Source organism: Homo sapiens, chromosome 22, assembly GCF_000001405.40.
Source record: "Homo sapiens chromosome 22, GRCh38.p14 Primary Assembly".
Classification (NCBI taxonomy): Eukaryota; Metazoa; Chordata; class Mammalia; order Primates; family Hominidae; genus Homo; species Homo sapiens.
This window is the reverse complement of record NC_000022.11, coordinates 32,351,110-32,375,249: the sequence shown is the minus strand read 5'-3', so window position 1 is coordinate 32,375,249 and position 24,140 is coordinate 32,351,110. Positions and strand designations below refer to the sequence as shown.

The window sequence follows — 24,140 nt, the reverse complement described above, 5'->3', positions numbered from 1 at the left end:
TTTCCTATAGATATGTTTGAAGTTTATCATTTTTAGTGAGACTAGAATAATAAACATTCTGCACTACTTTTAAAATTATATAAGCAATATATTTGATCTTATTAAGTATAAACTTGATGATTTTATTATTCATTCTAATAAATTTTTAACAATGTTTTAATGTTATTCATATATAGTTGCCTTTAAAATGTTAACACATTTATGTAAACTTTTTGTGCTCTTGTAATATCCTTGGCCTCTTATTTCTCAGGAACAAATTTCTACCACAGAGAAGAAATATTAGAAGTTATATCAAAAATGGAGTATGTTGTGAATTTTAAAAACCTTTTAAAATATGGCTTTTTAACCATTTTTTAAATTTTTATTTATTTTTTTATTATACTTTAAGTTCTGGGATACATGTGCAGAACGTGCAGGTTTGTTACATAGGTATACACGTGCCATGGTGGTTTGCTGCACCCATCAACCCATCATCTACATTAGGTATTTCTCTTAATGTTATCCCTCCCCTAGCCCCCAACCCCCGTCAGGCCCCAGTGTGTGATGTTCCCCTCCCTGTGTCCATGTGTTCTCATTGTTCAACTCCCACTTATGAGTGAGAACATGTGGTGTTTGGTTTTCTGTTTCTGTGTTAGTTTTCTAAGAATGATGGTTTCCAGCTTCATCCATGTCCCTGCAAAGGACATGAACTCAATACCATTCAGGACGTAGGCATGGCCAAAGACTTCATGAGTAAAACACCAAAAGCAATGGCAACAAAAGCCAAAATTGACAAATGGGATCTAATTAAACTAAAGAGCTTCTGCACAGCAAAGGAAACGATAATCAGAGTGAACAGGCAACCTACAGAATGGGAGAAAATTTTTGCAAAAGATGGCTTTTAAGTAATTTACACAGCAGGTTGTCTATTAATATGTAACATGCTAACAGATCTATTTGAGCGATCCTATTTCCTTGAGATTAAAGGTAGATTTGGCATTTTCTTCAAAAAGATATTTTTACTCTGTTTCTATAGTGTGAAATTGTACTTCATTACGAAGTGATCTCTTATGTCTGTCGTTAAAATAAATCAAACCAGAAACTAAATCCAGCTCTAGGAAGACTACACTTTATTTTATTTATCTCTGATGCATCTTATAATTTTTTTTGCTATGAGTGTCTGTGTGGATACTCTTCATTAAGAAAAACAGATTCTTTTGGAATATATTACCTTTCTACACTAACATTTCTTCCTGGCTAACACGGTGAAAACCCGTCTCTACTAAAAATACAAAAAATTAGCCGGGCGTGGTGGCGGGCGCCTGTAGTCCCAGCTACTCGGGAGGCTGAGGCAGAAGAATGGCGTGAACCCGGGAGGCAGAGGTTGCAGTGAGCTGAGATCGCGTCACTGCGCTCCAGCCTGGGCGACAGAGCAAGACTCCGTTTAAAAAAAAAAAAAAAAAAAGCTAGATGACAACCACAATACTAAGTAATGCAACTCTAATACTAATGCATTTTACATAGTTACTAAATAATCCATTTTCTTGCTTTCAATATTCCTAATGCTAGATGAAAGTACTGTTTAGTTTACCAAACCTTTAATCAAAAATGTCTAATCAGTACATCTTTTTAGCCCTTTAATTCATGTTAGAGAGTTTTAAGATGGAAGAAACAAATTAGACTCAAATTAAAAAAAAGTCTGACCTACAGTAGCTATTAGATAGTTAACATTTGTGACATCATCATGATTTTGTTCTGATACATGTATTTCACTTAGCATTGTTGAAATCAACTGGAATAATAGCCAAATAAAAACATTCTTTTAGTTATAATTTCAAAAACGATTGAAATTTATCAACAGTCATAACAACATCATTGTACTCTTAAATTAGACAATTCTTAGCACATATAAAAACATATTTACCTCTTTCAACTAGGACAATGTTAGAATTTATCAAAATTCACCATCATCAACTTTTTTTTTTTTTTCCAAAATCTTGATTGTTAGGTACTATAAAACTGCACCCTAATCAAATGATGTGTTTTTGATCTGATGATTTTACAAAGTTGGGAGGAAATTCAACGAAAAAAATACTTGTACAATTAAATTTCAAATCCTAAACATTTACTTATTTAAGCCTGCCTCTCTAAACTTAAAATAGATATCAGCTCCTCCAATAGGATGAGTAGATTTTCTCACTATATTTTCCACTTCTTTTTAAATTTTCTCCTCCATTTGAGCATTCAGAAGCATGAATCTGTGGGGATTGTTAAAGTTTTTTTTTAGTTTGCTGCATTTCTGAGTATACAAACACATACACATATAACTATAGTATCGTGTGTGTGTGTGTATAATTTGTGTATATACATATATTTGTTCAATCTGGAAGCCATTGAAATTTTCTGTTTATAACAACACAGAATGACCTATTCTTTCAGCACCTACCCCATTACACCCTCTGTTTTATAATCACTGGACAAAATATAGCATCATCTATATTAATGCAGATTGTATACATCATTTGTGACCTATTTATTTGTTCTAGAAATTTGTACTTAGCAATGATAGACATTTGTACTGTAATATTTATATCATGAAGGGTACCTATTCTCTTTGAAACATAGCAACTCTCTCATCTTAACCCTAAAATTTTCATTTGTTCTATTTATTTTAGGGCAGGTCACTTTCAACAGCTTGTTTTCTTGGGCATATCATAAAAGTATTTGCAATTGGGTGTTATGTATCAGCCAGAATACACACGTAGTTATACATTTTGAAAGTTATCTAAAATTCTGCATTCAGAAACACTTTAATTATATGTATTAGGCTGGGCATGGTGGTTCACGCCTCTAATCCCAATACTTTGGGAGGTCGAGGTGGGTGGATTGCTTGAATCCAAGAGTTGAAGACCAGCCTGGGCACCATGGAAAAACCCCATCTCTACAAAATATTAGCTGAGCATGGCGGCAAGAACCTGTAGTCCCAGCTACATGGGAGGCTGAGTTGGGAGGATCACCTGAGCCTGGGAGGTCAAGGCTGCAGTGAGCCATGATCAAGCCACTGCACTCCAGCCTGAGTGACAGAGTGAGACCCTGTCTCAAATAAAAAATTATATGTATTCACCCAAAGTGTTCACCCCACCGAGAAGATGCACTGGTGAAAATATAGTGATTTTTTTTTCCTTTAAATACTCAGTGAATGGCCAGCCGTTTACATACACAATGGTAGACAAATTCCTCTGTGAATTCACAAAGTTTGGGAGATAAATAAGTGCATAGTAATATATAGAGATAAGTGGAAAAATAAGTTTCATAATTATATTGTGAGAGAAATATGATTTTTATAATATCAAGTAACACTTTTTTCTAATTCTGAACAGTTTATTGCTTCTAGAAACATTAGATCACTCAGGAATGGTAGAAATATGACTTTTTAGGGAAATATGACTTTTAAAATGTGACTTTAAAAAATGTCACTTTTTAAGAAACATGACTTTTATAACAATATCCATTTATGCTGTCTTTAATTCTGAACAGTTTGCTTATTGGTTCTAGAAATATTAGATGACTCAGGAATGGTAGAAATATTTGGCAATGGAATTTCGAATCGAGAATGGAACTTCTGGTTGTTACTAACATATCGGTTTTGCCCCTGCTCAGTTTGAAATTCTTGCCATTGAGTGTATTTTGGGGTACACAATTTCTCCTCCTAAAACTTATTTTAATAAGCACAGAATAGTAATTAATGAGCTTGGGTTTTGTTGTTTTTTTTTTAAGTAAAACGCCTAATCTTTTATTTTATTTTATTTTATTTTATTTTTTTACGGAGTCTCGCTCTGTCGCCCAGGCTGGAGTGCAGTGGCGCTATGTCGGCTCACTGCAAGCTCCGCCTCCCGGGTTCACGCCATTCTCCTGCGTCAGCCTCCCGAGTAGCTGGGGGCTCCCGCCACCACGCCCGGCTAATTTTTTGTGTTTTTAGTACAGACGGGGTTTCACCATGTTAGCCAGGATGGTCTCTATCTCCTGACCTCGTGATCCACCCACCTCGGCCTCCCAAAGTGCTGGGATTACAGGTGTGAGCCACCACTCCCTGCCGTAAAAGGCCTAATCTTTAATGACCCTCCTGTGCGTGTGAAAGCACTCTTGTTGGTGCAGCAGAAAGCGGACCTCACAATACACATTGTGACTTTACCCTGAGACGTTGATGATGCTCCTATCACCATGGTTATGTGATTGGGTATATCTTGCCCTCGGTCCTAACTGCCACTGTCTGTGCTGAGTTTTTCAAAGTTCATAGCAGGTTGAACATGCTTGCTGTCATTTTCACAGATTCTGGTCTTTCTTATGGGGAACCTGAGTTCCTGCATTAAAGGTATGTTCACATTGGCCTGTTGAATGCTGTCCTCTCAAATGTACTAGTTAATATTTAAAAATATATTTTATTAAAAAATTCTCCTCTGTATTTTTCATATGCAGTTATAAATGTGTTTCCCGGTTATGTTTTATTCCTCAATTTATATATTTGATTCTAGTATCAAGCAGGATGCCTTTGAGCTTTTCCTTTATTTAAAAGACATGTCTTATTTCCTGTTACATCTGGCACCCCTCAAACCACCCAATTAGGTATCCTTCTGGGAAAAATATGGCAAAGTATGTTTTAATGCAGTTTTTACCTAATTAAGAACCTATTAAAATCATTAATTTTAAAAATTAGGAGCAAAGCTAGAATGATGCAGATGTCTTTGAGGCTTTTAACACAACGAAGTGTGTCCATCTTTGTCTTTTGTTGTTGTTTTTTTGTTTGTTTGTTTGTTTTTGAGATGGAGTCTCACTCTGTCGCCCAGGCTGGAGTGCAACGGTGCGATCTCGGCTCACTACAACCTCCGCCTCCCGGGTTCAAATGATTCTCTCGCCTCAGCCTCCCGAATAGCTGGGATTTCAGGCACCCACCATCATGCCCGGCTAATTTTTGTATTTTTGTAGAGACAAGGTTTTACCATGTTGGCCAGGCTGGTCTTGAACTCCTGACCTCAGGTGATCCACCTGCCTCGGCCTCCCAAAGTGGTGGTGTTACAGGCGTGAGCCACCACACCAGGCCCTGGCCTGTTTTTAGTATGTCTTTCCTCTCTCCTTTTTCATGAAATGTGTATTCAGTTTAGTAAATTTGGAATATGTCATTTATATTCACATATTAACTTTTTGAAAAGAAGTAAGAATGTGTATTGTCTATGTGTCAGTGTGTGAAACAAAACACACTTATTTTTATGATTGGGGTTTATCCAAAATGATAGAGATAACAATTATAGTCAATCACCCAAACCACTTACCTTTCCAAAGGTAAATATAATCAAGTGTAATCATTTTTTCTCATCCAGAGAGTAGTTCATATTTCAACATACAAAGATAGAGAAGTGAAATGAATCGGTAAACACTATTAACCAAGAACATACAGATTTACTCACACCAGGAAACACGTAGGTCACATACATATATGTAAAGATACATTTAAAAATAATAAGATGATAATTGTACAAGTTTGCATATAAAGTGTAACTTTGAAAAACTGTTAATACTGTTTCTGATGGATTGTGTGACTTAGTTCTCCTGACCTATCCTTCAGAGTTCTTTCTAAGGAGGTTGTTCGTTCCATGACTTGGAAACAATCGAAAGTTAGAGGCACTTACATGTGTTAAGAATAAATAAGGCAGCTGGGCGCGGTGGCTCATGCCTGTAATCCCAGCACTTTGGGAGGCCGAGGCAGGCAGATCACCTGAGGTCAGGAGTTCAAGACCAGCCTGACCAACATGGAGAAACCCCATCTCTACTAAAAATGCAAAATTAGCTGGGCGTGGTGGTGCACACCTGTAATTCCAGCTACTCAGGTGGCTAAGGCACAAGAATCACAGAACACAGGATACCACTTCACAATTAGCCTCAGGTGTCACCCTTGTGGCAACTCTCCTGTACAGCTGGGTTAAAGAGCCTCGGTGCTCACATGGGGTCATCTCCTCACTCTGCCTTCCTTCACTGTGGGTAGCTTGGGCTGAAACTAGACCTCATATGGCTAGGTGAACTAGACCTGGCTGAAACTAGGCCCCCTCATGCAATGATTGCAAACACAAGGGATAGGAAGGGAAGACTAAAAGGAAGATCTTTGATTTACAGTGGATATTTTAACATGTATTTCAGTATTTTCCAGTTTTTAATAATTGATTTATAACAAAGAATTGAGTAAATATAATTAGCCCTGGTACCTGATATTGAATTTAGTTCCTCAATAAAAATTTACACATAAACAGGGGCTGAATCCTATACCCCAGATGTTAAATGTTACAGCAGCAGATGGGGGTCTGTGGAGGTTGAAAGGGAGTTGGTCAATATCAAGGAGTCAGTGGCAGTTCTGCTGGACTTTAAAATGGGCTGAGGGAGTGACAGGACTCTGTGGTTGAATTCTAGCATGCATTTTAGTAGTTGCTCATTTGAAGTTTGAGTATTTCGTGTCGCTTTCATCTGCTATTACCTGGAAAGACAAAGGCTCTATTTCTCATTTCCTTTCTGCCCGTCTCTCTGCCTTCCTTGGTCCATAGAAGAGGATGGCCCAGGAGAAGCTCAATTCATGCTTGTTAACCAACCACATCCATAAGTTCTAGCCCTTTGTTCATGTCACCACCAATGAACTGACAGTCATGTTGTGTCCTTTCAGTTCCCCCAGAAGATCAATGGAAGGTGGATTCCAAAGAGTGGGCAAGTGAGGACCCCTTCTCTGTTACCAAGGTAAAGTAGCCTGTCTTTGCCTAACATGTGTGTAATTTTCTTGGTTATTTCATTTTTCAATTGATATCAGATAGAGAAAAATGATCAGGTGCGTTATAGGTGTTAGATGATGTTTCCTTGGGGATGGAGGGGTGCACCCCACCCACTGACACCTGATTGAAGAGGACATCTGGAATTGGCAGGGCTGGGTCACACACAGCATGTTAGGGGACACTTTCCTCTGCAACAAGCTTTCCACTTTAGATTAAGTATTTTGTAACTGCTACTTCAAAATGGTCTTGACAAAGATTTTTTTTTTTTTTTGAGACGGAGTCTTGCTGCGTAGCCCAGGCTGGAGTGCAGTGGTACGATCTCGGCTCACTGCAAGCTCCGCCTCCCGGGTTCACGCCATTCTCCTGTCTCAGCCTCCTGAGTAGCTGGGACTACAGGTGCCCGCCACCACATCTGGCTAATTTTTTTTTTTTTTTGTATTTTTAATAGAGACAGGGTTTCACCATGTTAGCCAGGATGGTCTCGATCTCCTGACCTCGTGATCTACCTCCCTCGGCTTGCCAAAGTGCTGGGATTACAGGCGTGAGCCACTGAGCACGGCCAACAAAGATACTTTTCAACAAAAGCTATTGTGCTTTCTACAGATGAACTCTACTCTAGATGTTGGGGCTTTAGACTTAAACATTCTTTCCCATCTTGGTTACCAAGAGCCCCTAAGAGAACGAAAGACCTGTGCAAACAGCCCACAGTATGATCTCATCCTCAGAGTGTTTTCTTTCTTCTAATTGCAGGTGACCCCAAGGAACACAGTAAATGGTATGTATTCTGGAATCATTCACCAGGTGTAAAAAAAAAAAGTGTATGTATAAGAAATGTGGAACTTAATTGCTGACTTTCATCTAGACCATCTCCATGATCCAAGACACCTGGAAAGAACGAGAATTTGGGGTGAACTAAAACTGGTTTTTCAGGTGACAAACTCTTGTCACCTATGTGCAATCCCTGGAAACAGGCATATTCACTTTAGGTGGGGTGGATTTGTGTGCACCAAGGCAGAAGGTGTCTATGTGTAGGTCTGTGTGATGTGTTTGTGAATGTGTGTCTAACACACAGGTGAGTGCAAGCTTAAGGGGTCTGCACACTCAATGAACTTACACACAGTATTGAAAGTAAGACTGGACTTCATTATTTATACATTTTCAATATATGGTCTCTGTAACATAAAATTAATGATGTAATACCATAGAATATTTCCCTAGTATTGAATCTTGTCTCTCAATATTGAAAGAGTTGCTTAAAAGCACATGAGAAGTGCTACTCAACACATGATATGTACTGTAGCTGCAGTTAAAGCATTCATTTGGGAAGTTATAAGACTTATGACTAAACTGATGACTTATGCTCTAAACTCAGGCATGAGCTTTGTAAGACAATTGAAGGGGAGGATAAAAGACCTCATTTGCCTCCTCTCTTCAGTGGTTTTATGTGCCTTGTGGAGTGTGGTTATGTGCCTTGTGGAGTGCAGTTACACAGGAAGTTGATGGAGTAAACACAAAAAAGAATTGAACAGGTTAATTGAATCCATAAGACCGTGGTGAGGTTAGTCAATAAGACGGGTCATTTATTTTTTAACTTTTATTTTATTTTTTATTTATTTATTTTTTGAGACGGAGTCTTGCTCTGTTGCCCAAGCTGGAGTGCAGTGGCACGATCTCGGCTCACTGCAAGCTCCGCCTCCTGGGTTCACACCATTCTTCTGCCTCAGCTTCCCAAGTAGCTGGGACTACAGGCGCCCACCACCATGCCCGGCTAATTTTTTGTATTTTTAGTAGAGATGGGGTTTCACCGTGTTAGCCAGGATGGTCTCGATCTCCTGACCTCATGATCCACCTGCCTTGGCTTCCCAAAGTGCTGGGATTACAAGCATGAGCCACCGCGCCCGGCACAATTTTTTTTTTTTTTTTTTTTGAGATGGAGGCTCACTCTGTCGCCCAGCTCCATCCATGTTCCTGCAAAGGACATCATCTCATTCTCTTTTATGGCTGCATAGTATTCCATGGTGTATATGTACCACATTTTCTTTATCCAGTATGTCATTGATGGGCATTTGGGTCTTTGCTATTATGAATAGCGCTGCTGTGAACATATGTGTGGATGTCTTTAGGGTACAATGATTTATATTTCTTTGGGCATATAACCAGTAATGGGATGGCTGGGTTGAATGACATTTCTGTTTTTAGCTCTTTGAGGAATCACCACACTACTTTCCACAATGGTTGAACTAATTTACACAGTCTCTAAGAGTATATAAGTGCTCCCTTTTCTCTGCAACTTTGCCAGTATCTGCTGTTTTTTGACTTTTTAGTAATAGCCGTTCTGACTGGTGTGAAATGGTATCTCATTTTGTCCCACCAGTTTTTTTAACTGTTAAGTTCAGGGGTGCATGTGCAGGTTTGTTACATAGGTCAACTTGTGTCATGGGGATTTCTTGTGCAGATTATCTTGTCACCTGGGTTTTAAGCCTAGCGCCCATTAGTTATTTTTCCTGATCCTCCCTCCTCCCACCGTCCCCCATCCGATAGCCCCGTGTGTGTTGTTCAGCTCTGTGTGTCCCTGTGAGATTGGTCATTTTTAGGTCAAATTTTACATAGTATGTTCTTTATGTGCTTTCTTCTAGAACTTTCTATGTTTTATTAACTAGGCAACTGTTGCTAAAATCTCTACTAAAAGTGGGCACATCTTTATAATAACAAATAGAAGCTTGTAAAGTTGTGATACCTTAAATTTTGCCAAGTTATGAGGGCTTTGCCTGAGACCTGGATGACAGAGTTGTGTAAGAATGTGGGTTCCTCTGAAGACTGTTGAATTTTCTGAGAATAAAGATCTTATTTGTTTCTATTACATAGGGTTAAAGCAGGGACACGGTGGTCTCTAAGGCACATAGGAGGCTCTGAGAACGGAAAATGAGATCTTTCCAAACAGTAATGCAAATCTCCATTTCTGTATTTAGGATCCCTCTGAGAGCAAGCAGGGGTTCACAGAAGGATATAGCTCACTAAGAGAAACAAATAATGGGAAACACAGGTTTATAGCATTTAGAAGAAAATACCAAGATGAACATATTAATATCTAAAGTGAGTTTTGATGAAAACAATATAAAAATTTTTAAAACTCAAAATGTAAATATCAGGACCATGTGACTTACTTTTATTTCTACCAAATAATAAAGACTGGCAATCCTGGGCACACACTTCCAGAGAATACACAGCAAACACAGCCATAGTGCTTTATCATTTTAGGAGAATCTTGATTCCACTCCTGCAATAATAGACTTGACTGGAAAGTGGAAGGACAGAAACATTCCTCTGAATGTGGAACCCAAAATCTGAAAACAAATGTTAGTGATCTAGAGGTGGACTTAAAAAAATAGGATGAAGAGTGGTATTTTATGAGAAGACTTTCAGAGGGCTCACGAGAGAGAATCAGTGGCATTTTCACTGGTGAAGGATTGGGAGAAGAGGCAGAGCCATTGGGTTAATGGAAGGGACATCTGGAGTCAGAGGGAAAGGGGGATCAGAGTGAACCTTGAATGAGAGTCCTGGGGCAGAGTCCTGGGGCAGAGGTTTCCAGGCTGTGGCTATGGAGGGTTTTTTGTTTTTTTTTTTTTTTGAGACAGAGTCTTGCTCTGTCTCCCAGACTGGAGTGCAGTGGCGCGATCTCGGCTCACTGCAAGCTCCACCCCCTGGGTTCACGCCATTCTCCTGCCTCAGCCTCCCGAGTAGCTGGGACTACAGGCGCCCGCCACCATGCCCGGCTAAATTTTTGTATTTTTAGAAGAGACGGGGTTTCACCATGTTAGCCAGGATGGTCTCGGTCTCCTGACCTCATGATCCGCCCACCTCGGCCTCCCAAAGTGCTGGAATTACAGGCATGAGCCACTGCGCCTGGCCGGAGGGGTCTTTCTGACAGGAGATAGGACTGTCCCCTGCCACGGCAAGGTCAAGAAATGGATGTGGAGTTTGTAAAATAGAAAGTGATCTTTGATGGGGAAAGAATGAGCTGATAAGGTGTACACTCCCTGCTGGTGCACCTGCTGCCCATTCTTAGCCACACCTTTTTCCAGGTGGCTCAGATCAGCAGTCAAGGAGAAAGTGGGGGTGGCAGACTAAATTCATTAAACCACCAAAGCACCAGCCCAGATGGCCTCTTTTTCAGTTAATTCGCATTAGCTACTTATTCAGGTTTGATAAGTGGGAGAGAAGTTGTTACTTGCAGAAGCATCTTGTGATAGATGTTTTGCATTGTTCTAAGGCCTGAGCAGTCTTGGAGACAGGCAGACACTGGTCGCTCACTGTGATCACTGGAGGAAACAGTTACTGAGAGGCAGCTGACAGGGTGAAGGGAGTGGGGGAGGAAGGCCACGCATTTGTGCTTCCCAAGGTCCCACAGGTGACATCCTTTAAAGGAAACTGTGTCATACTTGGGGTGGAAGATTTGAAAGGCAGAGGAAAAGAATGCTTTATAATTAGGGACCTGTCTTCATCTCAGGCGACTCTTCCCGAGCACGAACTCTGTCTTTCCACACACCTTGGGAATAAAAGTATTGGAGAAAGAGAGTGAAAGGGTCCCTTTGATCAGTGGTCCAGGGCACGATATAGAGGTCTCAGTTGTTCAGGAATCTCTGTCTCTAGGGAACCAAATTTATTCCAACCCCCAGATCCTTCACTCATTAGAATGGGATTCTGCAAATCTCTCACCATCTCTAAGTGATACTCAGCCCCTCCTGTGCCCACCCTGCCGGGCTGATGTGGGGAGTCCCGGAGATAATAGGAGATGTCCTCCAGAAGTTGTAAGGCATCACACCCACGTAAAAGATGAACAGGGAACCACCCTCCACTGGCCTGGAGCCACCCAAGCAGCCTCTCTGTGTTCAGCCACTACTAAGTCTCCGGCTTATTCCTTCTGGCATTTAGTAAACCCTTACACATCACTACTGAAGTTCTGATTCTCTTTCTTAATATTCTCCTGCATTTAGTGATTTTTCTAGCCCCATACTGTGAGATTAATAAGTAGGCCCTATGAAAAGTTTAACATGACAGCGCAGAGATCTGAGGGCCGAGGGATTACATGACCTTCCCAGGTCTACGTGGCTCTAGTGGGATTGGGGTGCAGGTCCCTCACTACACCAGCCCTCTGCCTTTCTGTATCGTCTCACCTATGTGAAGCCATCGCCCACGCAGTCTTTCTAATCCATGTATAAAGTGCTCACTGAACTCCACGATCTTCCTGAGACCTAACTTTGATTCAGATGGCTCTGCTTGGAAGCCAGTAAACAATGGGATCAGAAGTTAGAACCAATTATCACAATTCTCCCTCTGGTCTTCTGTCAGTAACATGTCATTAGTTCTCTGCATTGCAAAAAGATTAACCAGGCTCTTCTCTGATAGAAATTTTAAGAAGATATAGCCTCTACACCAAGAGGCACATGACACAACCTGGACTCTGGGCAAACCACCGGGTGCACTCACATGAAGGTACCGTGGAAATTTATTAAGTTGATTTAAGAATAACAATTGTGGATTGTATTCAGTGTCCCATATGTTAGAAGAAGCTATAGAGGAGGTTAAGCCATATGTTTAAATGTGCCAAAATTTTTATTTGCCTAATCAAGAGGTATTGCTGAAATCACAAAATTAAATATACATTTAAAAGTCAATTTTGATTCACATTTAATAGTAAGACAATCTTTCAAACTAATCTCTAGACGTTACTCAATTGTTGAACATTATTGTGATCTCCCTGAAACAGTGGAGCTATAATTTTAAAACTGAATGTTTAACCAAGGGAGTTTTAGATTGACATAAAAATCTAGCATGTAATACACAAAGTTCCCACATCATTCTATTCTCTCACCCTACCTTATAATTCCACCTAATATTCATATCTTACATTACTGTGTTATATTTGCTAAAAGTAATGGGCAAATATTGATACATTAGTACCTAAAGTCTGTCATTCTCATAGTGTTCTTTTTCCTGTTACACATTTCTATGAATTTTGAAATATTTACTGTTATGTTTACCATTTCGATCTCGTAAGGAATACTCTCACCGCTCCAAAAATTCCCTCTTCTTTACTTATGAATCTCTGTCCTCTTTCTCCAGAAACCTTGCCAACTATTGGTATTTTTACCATCCCCTTTGTTTTGCCTTTTCCAGAATGTCATACAGTTGGAGTCATATATTAGATTGGTGCAAAGTAATTGCGGTTTTTCCATTCTTCAACTGGCAAAAACCACAATTACTTTTGCACCAGCCCAATATTATGTAGCTTTTTCAGCTGAACTTACTTCACTCATCAATATACTTAAAGTCACCCTGCTCTGCTGCCTGTGTGGTCTCATCCACATGAATGCATGCCCCCACAGTCTTTCTGATACATGCCATTGTCTTTTCTATGCTTTGATGGAGAACTCCTTTAAATCACAGAATAATATTGTGTTTTATAGATGGTTGTTTTTTCATTCACCTCTTAAACATCTTGCTCGCTTCTAGTTTGGGTGGTTATAGATAAAGCTGCTGTAAACATTCCTGTGCAGGCTTTGTGTGGACGTAACTTTTCATCTCAACTGAGTACGTACCTAAGAGCGCAATTTTCGGATTATATTGTGAAAATATGTTGGGATTCGTAAGAATTTGGTGGATTTCGTAAGAGAAATCATTTGGTTCTGGTGTTGTCTTTTTTGGAATGTTCTTAATGTTAATTCACTTAATAGGCAGAGGCTTGTTCAGATTGTCTGTGTTCCTAGTGTGACCTTGAGAAGATTATGTCTCTCAAGGAATTGATACATTTCACCTAGTTATCAAACTGTGGGAATAGAGTCATTCATAATAGTCCTTGATTATCCTTTTAATGACCAACAGTTTGGTAGATATGGCCCCTCTTTTATTTCTGATATTAGTAATGTGTGTTATCTTTTTTTGCTTTGTTAGCCTGCATATTTATTAATCTCTGCATAAAGATTTAATTATTAATTAATTTATTAATTTAATAAATTAATAAAATGAATTTATTAATTTTATTGCAATTACAATTAATAATTGCAATAACTAATTGGGGGGAATTTTCATTAATGCAGGAACACACATCCAGGAAAATGTTACCCACACTGAGCAATGATGGCGATAACTTTTCAGTTCTGGATAGGACATAGGCATTTATCCAGCTCTCCGTTCAAATACACACACACCCACACACGCACACACATACACACACACTCATGTTTTTACTATGAATAAAATCTATTGCACTCCTATCATTTAGAAAATCACATGATGCATTAGGTGATATCCAAATGTTTATTTACCTCATAACTTCTATAATTTAAACATTGATTTGAACTTACAGAAATGAAAAAGTAAAGCATTTGGAAATTGATCCGAGAATACAGAACATTTCTATAGGAAACAAGATGTGAACCATAAGACTCAATGAGTTGGATGGTGGCAATAATTAATACTTACGACTCAATAATCGAATCAAATTAGAATATAGATTATAGAAATGTCCCATATCTTTCTCCTATGACTGTATAATGCTTTTACCAAGTAGAAAATTCCTAAGTCTACCCACCCAAGTAATTTTCTGACCCTGTTTTTTTTTGCAGTGGCGGCTTATTTGGCCTCCCCAGGACGGACTGGAGCATCAGTAGTGCCTGAGTTCATCAAAGGACAGATGCTCAAGACACCTTGATCACCATTAGGTGGAATTGAAGGAGCCAAAAATGGGCGCAGTGGCTCCTCAGCAGAGACGCTCCTGAATGTATAGACATGGGAACCACTTTCAGCATCAAAAAAGGAAACGTTCTGCATGCCCATATCCAGAAAAATCCCCACTCGCTGTAACTTGCGGTCTACTAAGAGGAAAGTCAGCGGCACCGTGCTGGCAGAGAGGCGGCTTCCATCCCTCAAACTCACAGTCCAGAATCCAAGCTCTGTGGTCAGCTGGATCTTCCCTTTGCAGTGAACAGATTCTCTGCAGACTCCCAGGTCCCATTCTGTGCTTGTTCCCACGTCCACCTCCCAGTAGTGGCGGCCACAGGTAAAGCGAGGGGAGCCCAGGATGCAAACGGACACGTCAAATCTCTCGGCAAGGTCTTGCCGATTCTGTGTGATGAGCCCACTTCGGACGCTCCTGAGGTCGTCAGAAATGAGGAGGAAGTTGTTGGCTGTGTCGGCATCCAAGGTCATATCCACTGTGAAAAGGAAAACAAGTTGCTCAGCAAGTGGACAGAAGCCAACCCCATGCCTCTCTTCTACTTCAAAGGCCCAAATATCTCCTGACTTTAGTTTCTTTAATTCTGTTTCTTCCTCCAAAATCAAAACTTTTCATGAGGAAACTTCCCTATTTCAAATTTTCATAGGTATGCTTTGTGGCAATACGTGACTCTTATTCACAGTAGCAATTCTTATTTTACTTTACGTCACGTGTTTGCTTCACTGAACTTTTCTTCATTTAGAGTGGAGGGTCTCTGAAGGCAGACACCATGCCCCCCTTTCTACCACCTTGATGTGTGAACAAATAAATGATAATTAAGACAATGCAAGTGGTCAATATTAAATATGTTTCTGCTTCCACATTTTATTGCTCCAATTCAGTATATAGAGCATGATTCCAGGCTTTTGTTTTCCATGTTTGTAAACAAATTAATTGTGCACAGTTCTGACAGCAGATAGGGTATCTCTGCAGCTGACAATGTGATGACAGAGATGCTGGTCCTGGACATTAGGAGGCTCTAAGGCCAGGTGGAGGAGGGGGACCTTTTAGATGAAAGAATGTTTTCTATCCTACATGGAAGGTGAGACCTTAAGCAAAACAATGGTAAATTTTGGAGCCAAGAGAAAGGTATTTGAAAGTTGTCTGTCATAACTGACTGATTGTAGAGAATAAGGGCAGAAAATACAAAGGTCAATAATTTAAGGCATTGGGTATGTGACTGACAGGTGAAGCCGCCAATTCTCATGGAGGAGGCAGTGTGATCTGGCCTAGAGAAAATTAATTGTCCAGAACATTCTGAAAAAAAAAAATCTACAAAATATATTATCCTTCAAGTCAAAAAACTGATATGATCACTAATATAGATTTTATAGATCACAGTAAGACTACCCTAGTCAAGACTAGGGATTGATTGCTATTTAATGGTGAATTAGGGAATGGACATGGACAAGGAAGGAGGAAGAGGGTTCCAAACATGACTTGGACAGGGTGAATCTCTGTCCTCCATAGTTCAGCAGAGAGACAGTCAGGTATGGGTAGATGGATGAGTAGAGATCATGGGTGTCAGGGCAGAAGCTACCAGTGTCAGGGACATTATAGGGGCCCACCACCATTTATAGGTGTAATTCTTTGCCCAGGCTGACCATAACCTTTTCATTTAAATGTCCCTTTTCCCCAGAGTTATGGAGAGTGATAGTATTTTCTGTAGCCAGGACCACTGTTGGAGCCCATGGCGCATGGATGAGGAGACCAATATCTGCAACTCTCCCCACTCACAGAAACAAACACCATAGGTGCTCCATTCCCAACTCTTCTCAACCCTGGGGTGAGGTTGTTTGGTACAATGGGTGCCAATATTCACTGTGCATTAGAAATACCAGGCCCATCTTAATGTCAGATTCATGGGAACCTTTGCTAGAGAGAAATTCAAATTCAGTTGCTCTATGTTTTTGCTACTCAGCAAAGTCCCCAAGCCAGCGGGATCAATCCTGAGACTTCCCAGTTCAGCATCTGCATTTTAACAAGATCCCCAGGTAATCTGAGCACACTAAGTTTAGAGAATCCCTTGTCTAACCCATGACATAGACATCGGGTTTTTGTTTGTTTTTGTTTTTGACATCACCAGGTGATTCTATGTGTTGTCAGGGCTGAGAATGTGATGATGAAGCATCTCAATTTTAGGTGCCAGACAGCAGCTAATCCCCATGTGGAATGAGGGGCCAACTGCACAGATGATTTTTCCTGGTCTGGTCTTGGGAAGGGGGCAGGGTATACAGATTCCTTACCTTGGAACTTCCGCATCCTTGGGTTCATCTGTAGAATCTTCTTCAGCTTGGGCTCCAGTTCCTTGATGTGGGAAACCAGCCTCTCTAGCTGCCGATTGGGCCTGATTTTGTTCCTCTGAGAGACCATGGAACAGCAACAGCAAAGCAGATCCTCCCCATGGGGCTCCTTCTGCAGCGAATTGATGCACTTGAGGCAGACGGTGCATCCACACTCCAGGGACATTGGTTTTTCCAGATAGTCTGAGCAGACGGGACAGCTGCTTGCTTCTTGGAAGAGTGCAGCCATGTCCACTGCCAGGGGAAAAGTACACAAGGGAAGAAAATTTCCTTGAGGTGAAAGCCTGTTAGTTGTGACAAGTGACAACCTTTTCATGCATAGAGGTATTGTGTTCCAGCTTTGTCACTCCGAGAACAAGACCATGAGTACAAACACTCAAGCACATCCCCCCACCCCCCGTCCTCAGAGATTTGAAGTTCTATTGGGAAAGTCACGAATCATCACTGTGCTCTGAGCTGAGGTGGAGGAAGGGTCCATTCTCCTGGTGACCCAGCAGCTGAGCCTGAGCCAGTGACGTGGCAGCACCCATGTGAGGAACAGCGAGCTGGGGTCATTTCACCACCTCCTAGGGGAACCCCAGCAAGAGACTGATTGATGAACATAAGAATTAGGAGCTGAGAGGCTGGGCACGATGGCTCATGCCTGTAATCCCAGCACTTCGGGAGGCCAAGGTGGGTGGATCATCTGAGGTCATCAAAAGTTCGAGACCAGCCTGATGGGTGAAACCCCATCTCTACTGAAAATACAAAAGAATTAGCCAGGCGTGGTGGCACACGCCTGTAATCCCAGATACTTGGGAGGCTTTGGCAGGAGAATCGCTTGAACCTGGGAGGCAGAAGTTGCACTGAGCCAAGATTGTGCCATTGCACTCCGGCCTGGGCAACAGAGTGAGACACCATCTCAAAAAAAAAAAAGGGGGCTGGATGCAGTAGCTCACATCTGTAATCCCAGCACTTTGCGAGGCCAAGGCAGGAAGATCCCTTGAGCCCAGGAATTTGAGACGAGTCTGGACAACACAGGAAGACCTCATCTCTACAAACAATACAAAAATTAGCAGTGAGCAGAGACCACGCCAGGTCACTCCAACCTGGACAACACAGTAAGACCCTGTCTCACCAAAAGAAAAGAAAAGAAAAAAAATTACATCCTTCTCCAGCCTTGGAAATGAATACCAAATTAACTGCCACCACTGGTGGGCAGGGGACAGGCTCGGAGGTTCCCTGAATGACAGAGAGTTGTTTTAGGAACCTCATGTCACACCCTTCTGAGACACTGTGGACCATGTCTGAGGGGTCCTACACTGGCACTGAGGGGGCCTGACCCCTCTTCATACACTGAGGTCAGGGGGCTCCCAGGTACACAACAGGATGCTGACCTCCTGCCGCTCGCCCACCCACAGGCCAGCCCAAGGCCACCCCCTTGGTCACTCTGTTCCCGTCCTCCTCTGAGGAGCTCCAAGCCAAAAGGCCACACTGCTGTGTCTCATGAGTGGCTTCTACCCGGGAGCTGTGACGGTGGCCTGGAAGGCAAACAGCACCCCTGTCACCCAGGGTACGGAAGTCACCAAGACCTCCAAACAGAGCAACAAGCACACAGCCAGAAGCGACCTGAGCCTGACACCCGACCAGTGGAGGTCCTGCAGCAGCTACAGCTGTAAGGTCACACACAAGAGAGCACTGTGGAGAAGACAGTGGCCCCTGAAGAATGTTCTTAGGTCCCTGACCCTCACCCCACCCATGGGGGCCTGGAGCTGCAGGATCCCAGAACAGAGATCCCCTCCCACCCCAAATCATCCAGCCCCTCTCCTTGTACCAGTAAACCCTTAATAAATATCCTCACCGTCAACCAGAAATCCTGCTCCCTCTCTTCATTTCTTAGCTAACATATAATTTGACACTCACCCTGGGTTCTTAGTGTGTGTAAGGGGGGATTACTTGCACCCTGTTGGATAGCAGCCCGGGGGAGAGGCTCCCAGACTCCCAGGGGTGTCTCCTGAGGAAACAGGCCAGGCCAGGCATTTGATCACTGAACACCTCTCTCTCCATTCTCTCTCCCCACCTCTTCCTCCTTGCAGCTTGGCCCCCAATTGCTGACTACTTCCTGGATGAAGCTGTCCCTAGCTGAGCCTTAAGACGCACCCTCTGTCCCTACCCTAGTCAAGACCCTCTACCCACCCACAGCCTCTGTTTCTTTAGCCTTGAAATCCTACTCTGGGCCTGGAGCTCCCTGGCCCCTGGAATGCCCTCTTTTCTCTCTGCCCAGCTCCCCAGCCCTGAGAGCCAGGCTGTCCAGGACACTGTTGCATCGTCAAATTCATGAGGTCTTACATTTGGGGCCCGCCTCAATTCTTCACCTTACAGCAGGTTCAGAGATGGAAAAAAAAATGGGAGGAAGCCAGGAAGGAAACACACACAAAAGGCCAGCAGGTGGCTCAGGATGCTTGTGAAAGGTAGTATCCCAGCTGTGCAGGAAGCAGTGCAAGGAGGGTAATAGGTGTTCCCTTATTTCTATGAGAATATGCAAAGCATTTGCTCAAGGAGAGTTGGTTTTCTCAGTGTTGAAGCCAGCCATCTTTTCTTTTCTTTCTTTTTTTTTTTTTTTTTTTGAGACAAAGTCTCGCTGTGTCACCAGGCTGGAGTGTAGTGGCACAATCTTGGCTCACTGCAACCTCTGCCTCCCAGGTTCAAGCGATTCTCCTGCCAAAGCCAGGCATCTTTTCACGACTAAAAGCAAGTACCTGTCTTAACCAAGGCCTCAATATTGATGGGATTTGGTCTCTGACACATGCACAGGTGACCTGTGCACCTAGGGCTGCCTGGCAGCTCTAGGAAATGGCAATTCTGTCAGGTACTTGGCACAGAAAGTCACTGGCCTTCTTTGGAGGATGCATCATTTATGGAAACACTTCTTTATTGGATCCTGGGTCTCGGGTGGAAAACCAGGTCCCACATCAGGACTTTCTCTGTGAGGCTCCCAGGTTCTGGGGCTCCAGCTGCTGTCTGAGAGGAAGGTGTGGAGACAGAGAACATAGCCTAGAAGAGCCTGGAACTGAGACTTCCCCTTACCGAGGTTATGCAAATGAGGTTCTTGGACTACATATTCTGATTGGATGAGAAGAAAAACCTCTAGATCTACTCTGATTGGGCTTTATTTGCATGTTCTGATTGGATGAGAGCAAGTCTTAGGACAACCAATCAGAACATGATAACAAAGTCCAATCAGAGTAGGCCTAGAGGTTTTCCTCATCCAATCAGAACATGTAGCCCAGGAACTTCATTTGCATAAATTCTCATATATAAATGATGCCAAGTGGGGGGAGTTTTGTCATTCCAAGCTCTCCTGCGTCAGCTTGTGTAGCTGGTTAGTACTGGCTTAGAGGAAAAAGAAAACGAGTCACTTCCTGAGCACACTGGAGTCTGGAAGCTTAGAGGAAAAGGAGGAGGAGCAACTTCATTAGCACAGTGGAGGCTGGAGCCTGCCGTGGCTCACCTCGCTGCTGCCGTTGGTGCGGGCCAGGGAGACTAGAGCGCAGCCAGAATGGTAAAATGGTGGTGGGAAAAGTTCGCCATCCCAGGCCGTACTGCCTGTGGCGTGGCGTGGTGGGGTGGGTTGGAGGCCCTATCCAGGGCGTTACTGCCCGTGTTAGGAGGCTGGTTGGATGTGGTATCTGGGGCCTCACTGCCCACAGAGGGGAGTGGGTTGGGGGTGCTATCGGGTGTGCGCTGCCCGTGGCTGGGGGTGGGTTGGAGCACTATCCCAAGCTGTACTGCTAGCGGCAGTGGGGAGTTCTGGGGGCACTATCTGGGGATGCAGTGGCCGTGGCCGGCGGGCGAGTTGGAAGAACTATCGGGTGTTGCATTGCCCTTGTCAGGCACGGGTTGGGGGCGCTATCGGGTGCTACTCTGCCTGCGGTGGGCGGGACGTGTTATATCCAGGGCATCATTGCCTGCGTCTAGAAGCTGGCTGGGGGCATTATCCATAGCTGCACTGCCCACAGCAGGGAGCAGGTTGGCAGCACTATCTGGGGCTGCAGTGCTGTGGTGGGGGACGGGTTAGGCTCATTACAGGGTGCTACACTGTTGGCAGCAGGGAGGGGGGTGTTGAGGGCGCTTTCTGGGGCCTACACTGAGACAGAGATAGCAGGATTTATTGGGAGTGCTACTGGGGGCCAGACTGCCCGTGTAGAGGGGGTGGGAGGCTGGTTGGGGGCGCTATTGAGGGACGTATCCACTGCCCGTTTTGGGAGGGGGCGGGTTGGGTGCTATCAGAGGTCTGTACTGCGTGCCAGGGAGCTGGTGGGTGTGCTACCTGGGGCCACATTGGTTCCGGCGGGGCGGGTTGGGTGCGCTATCGGGGGCTACCTTGCCCGCGCAGGGGGTGGGTTGGGTGCGCTATCTGTGGCTGTACTGCCGGAGGCAGGGAGTGAGTTGGGGCGTCTCCCTGGGTTGCTGCTCCCAGTGGGGAGCAGGTTGGGGCACTATCCGGGGTTGCACTTCCCGCAGTTGGGGGGCGGTTTGGGTGCCATATCAGGGCATTACTGCCCCCAGCAGGGGTCTGGTTGGGGGCACTATTCGTGGCTACACTGTGTACGGCAGGGAGCGGATTGGGGGCGCTATCCCGGGCTGCACTGCCCGCGGCAGGGGGCGGGTTCTGGGCGCCATTGGGTGCTGCAGTGTCCGAAGCAAGGGCAGGTTGGGGTCGCCATTGGATGCTACACTGCCGGTGGTTGGGGGTGAGGTGTTGGAGGCGCTATCTGGGGGCTACACTGCCGGCGGCGGGTTAGGGGTGCTGTTGGGGGCTGCGCTGCCCCCCTGGTGCTGGTGGTGTCAGTGACGGGTGGTCAGAGGAGCGGTCCTCGTCTCCCCGGACTCCAGACTCTAGAGGGCCATCTCCTCCTGCTGGAGCGCGGCGGATGCACAGCGTTTCCGCGGGGATCCTGAGCACAATCCGTCACCTAGACCAGCCGTGGTTCCCAGGCCCGCGCCCTCTATGTGTTGCGGAAACTGCCTGGGACCCCCGGGCACGCAGTAGCTGACACTACGGGGTGATAGGGCCCCGTGGGTGGAGGCGTCAGGAACGGGAACCAGCACTAGGGTTGGGAGGGCTGGCTGGGGTTCAGTTTTTGCTGCTCCTGCTTCCCGAGGAACGCAGCCAGGGTGGGCCCAGCGGTTCTAGTAGAGTAGGAAGCCCGGGCACTGTGGTGTCTCCAGTCCCCACTCCAGGCCCTAGTTCCTGGCCAACTTGGGCCAAAAGGAGAGGCTGGACTTTGGAGGGTGGGCGTGAGTGCCTTCGCTGAAACCGGCCTCTGCCATCCAGTGGCCAGCATGCCAAGGTGAGGCTCTAACGCTACCACTCTCTGCATCCTGTTCTAGGCTTTCTTGGCTTTGCCTGCCCAGTTGTTTCATGCCAGGAGGAGGAGCCGCCTGCTGGAGGCTGGAGCTTGTGGCACCACCGCTCGCCTCGCTGTGGTTGGTGGCGGCCATGGAGACTAAAGACTCAGCGCTGGAGTGGTAGGAGGGCGGCAATGAAAACTGAAGAGCACCAGAGCGGTAGGATGGCGGCTGGCTGCCGCCAGGGCACAGGCAGTGCAGTGGTCAGGTGTTAGGAGCCTTGTAGGGTGGGCCTGTGCGTTGAGGGTGACAGCAGTAGTAGTTGTATTAGCATCGGTGCTAGTTGTGGCAGCAGCAGCAGCAAGTTTGGGGGCCGGGAAGGCAGGTCGGAGCGTTGGGGGGCAGCCCTGCCTGGCCTGGGGTGGGTAGGAAGCTGTGGGCCTCTGTGACAGCGGTGGAGGTGCAGCCAGGGGAAGGAGGAGTCTTCCCCGCATCTCCTGCAGAATCTGGAGGGCGCCCTCCTCCTGCTGGCACCTGAGTCAGGTGTGAGTGGCACCATTATGTTATTAACAGAAGTTTGGGGGGTAACTATTTGTGTATCATTTTGCTTGGTTTTTTGTCAGGGTAGTCTTGGACTTTTTTTTTTTTTAATTTCTGGGGTACATGAGCACAACGTGCATGTTTGTTACATATGTATCCATGTGCCATGTTGGTGTGCTGCACCCATTAACTCGTCATTTGCATTAGGTATATCTCCTAATGCTATCCCTCCCCCCTCCCCCCATCCCACAACAGGCCCTGGTATGTGATGTCCCCCTTCCTGTGTACAAGTGTTCTCATTGTTCAATTCCCACCTATGAGTGAGAACATAACGATGTTTGGTTTTTTGTCCTTGTGATAGTTTGCTGAGAATGATGGTTTCCAGCTTCATCCATGTCCTTACAAAGGCCATGAACTCATCATTTTTTATGGCTGTGTAGTATTCCATGGTGCATATGTGCCACATTTTCTTGGACTTTTTTAAATTTCATGAATCAGGAAGGGGACAAAATGTATAATAGGTCTCCTTGATTCTCTTACCTGTTCTTTTTCTTTTTTTCCAGCCTGGTTTTTCTTCTGCTTATCATCATTTTCTTGTTCCTGTTCATTTTCTTATGCTGCTGCTTCTATTTCTTGTGTCCTTTCTTGTTTCTCCTCCTCCTCCCTTTGTTTTCTTTATCACAAGCAATGGCCTTAACAAACAACAGTCCAAAACTGAGTTAAAAATAGACGACTTGTCATTGTATTCCACCCGCCCACCCCCCCCCCGCCCTCCCCCCACCGCCCCCACCCTCCCCCCACGCCCCCCACCCCCGCCCCGACGGAATCTTGCTCTGTTGCCCAGGCTGGAGTGCAGTGGTGATCTCTGCTCATTGCAACCTCTGTCTCCCAGGTTCAAGCAATTCTCCTGCCTCAGCCTCTTGAGTAGCTGGGATTACAAGCGAATACTGCTGTGCCCGGCTAATTTTTGTATTTTTAGTAGAGATGGGGTTTCGCCATGTTGGCCAGGCTGGTATTGAACTCCTGACCTTGTGATCTTCCCATCTCAGCCTCTCAGAGTGCTTGGATTACAGGCGTGAGCCACCTCGCCGGCCCAGTGTGTTGTATTTTAAAAATGATCGGTCCGTTATTGTTTTAGAGATGAGGAAAAAATCAGTTGGATAATTATTTAGATTCTTGAGTAGCTGTGCTTTCATATCCTGTTAATTCGTTGTAAGTAGTTATTTGGGGAATCAAAAAATGAAGCGTCAAATAAAATATTGGTTGCAAACAGCCATTTTCTCTCTCTCCCATATTAGTCTGGAGATAGGCAAGAGGCATGGAGGTAATAAGTTCCAGTGTATGAGATCATTAAGAGAACCATATTCCCTTCATTTTATTTCTCTGCCACCATTTTCTGAGAGTATT

The 24,140-nt window shown here is 44.3% G+C and overlaps 2 protein-coding genes and 1 long non-coding RNA gene across 9 annotated transcripts in view; 2 read left to right on the top strand and 1 right to left on the bottom strand.

Annotated features, from left to right (window-relative positions):
* Positions 1 to 3,985: 3,985 nt before the first annotated feature.
* Positions 3,986 to 15,344, top strand: RFPL3S (RFPL3 antisense). Of its 3 annotated transcripts, none has more exons than NR_104232.1 (5): positions 3,986 to 4,052; positions 4,309 to 4,351; positions 6,683 to 6,753; positions 7,536 to 7,560; positions 14,411 to 15,344. It is a non-coding gene; the product is annotated as an RFPL3 antisense (long non-coding RNA). The 3 variants fall into 3 exon arrangements; NR_002596.2 differs by lacking the exon at positions 3,986 to 4,052 and adding an exon at positions 12,192 to 12,278 and having other exon boundaries at positions 4,174 to 4,351; NR_001450.3 differs by lacking the exon at positions 3,986 to 4,052 and having other exon boundaries at positions 4,174 to 4,351.
* On the bottom strand, positions 14,089 to 20,365 carry RFPL3 (ret finger protein like 3). Of its 2 annotated transcripts, NM_006604.2 has the most exons (3): positions 20,353 to 20,365; positions 16,806 to 17,096; positions 14,089 to 14,998 (listed from the first exon to the last, which is right to left on the bottom strand). In NM_006604.2, exons 2-3 carry the CDS (start codon positions 17,089 to 17,091, stop codon positions 14,418 to 14,420), a joined length of 867 nt encoding a protein of 288 aa, NP_006595.1. In that variant the 5' UTR covers positions 17,092 to 17,096; positions 20,353 to 20,365; the 3' UTR covers positions 14,089 to 14,417. The 2 variants fall into 2 exon arrangements, with proteins under 2 accessions (NP_006595.1, NP_001092005.1); NM_001098535.1 differs by lacking the exon at positions 20,353 to 20,365 and having other exon boundaries at positions 16,806 to 17,383.
* SLC5A4 (solute carrier family 5 member 4) overlaps positions 20,187 to 24,140 on the top strand; it is a 136,600-nt gene continuing 132,646 nt past the window's right edge. For 2 of the 4 annotated variants that reach the window (XM_006724308.4, XM_011530342.3), the window contains exons 1-2: positions 20,187 to 20,403; positions 22,236 to 22,412. Coding sequence is in view for 1 of the 4 variants with exons in the window: in XM_017028920.2 (XP_016884409.1) it covers positions 22,267 to 22,373 (107 nt within the window). In the remaining 3 variants the exon portion in view is untranslated. Of the gene's footprint in view, positions 20,404 to 22,235; positions 22,413 to 24,140 lie in introns of those variants that run through there. The other 2 variants (XM_017028920.2, XM_011530343.3) reach the window with 2 other exon arrangements.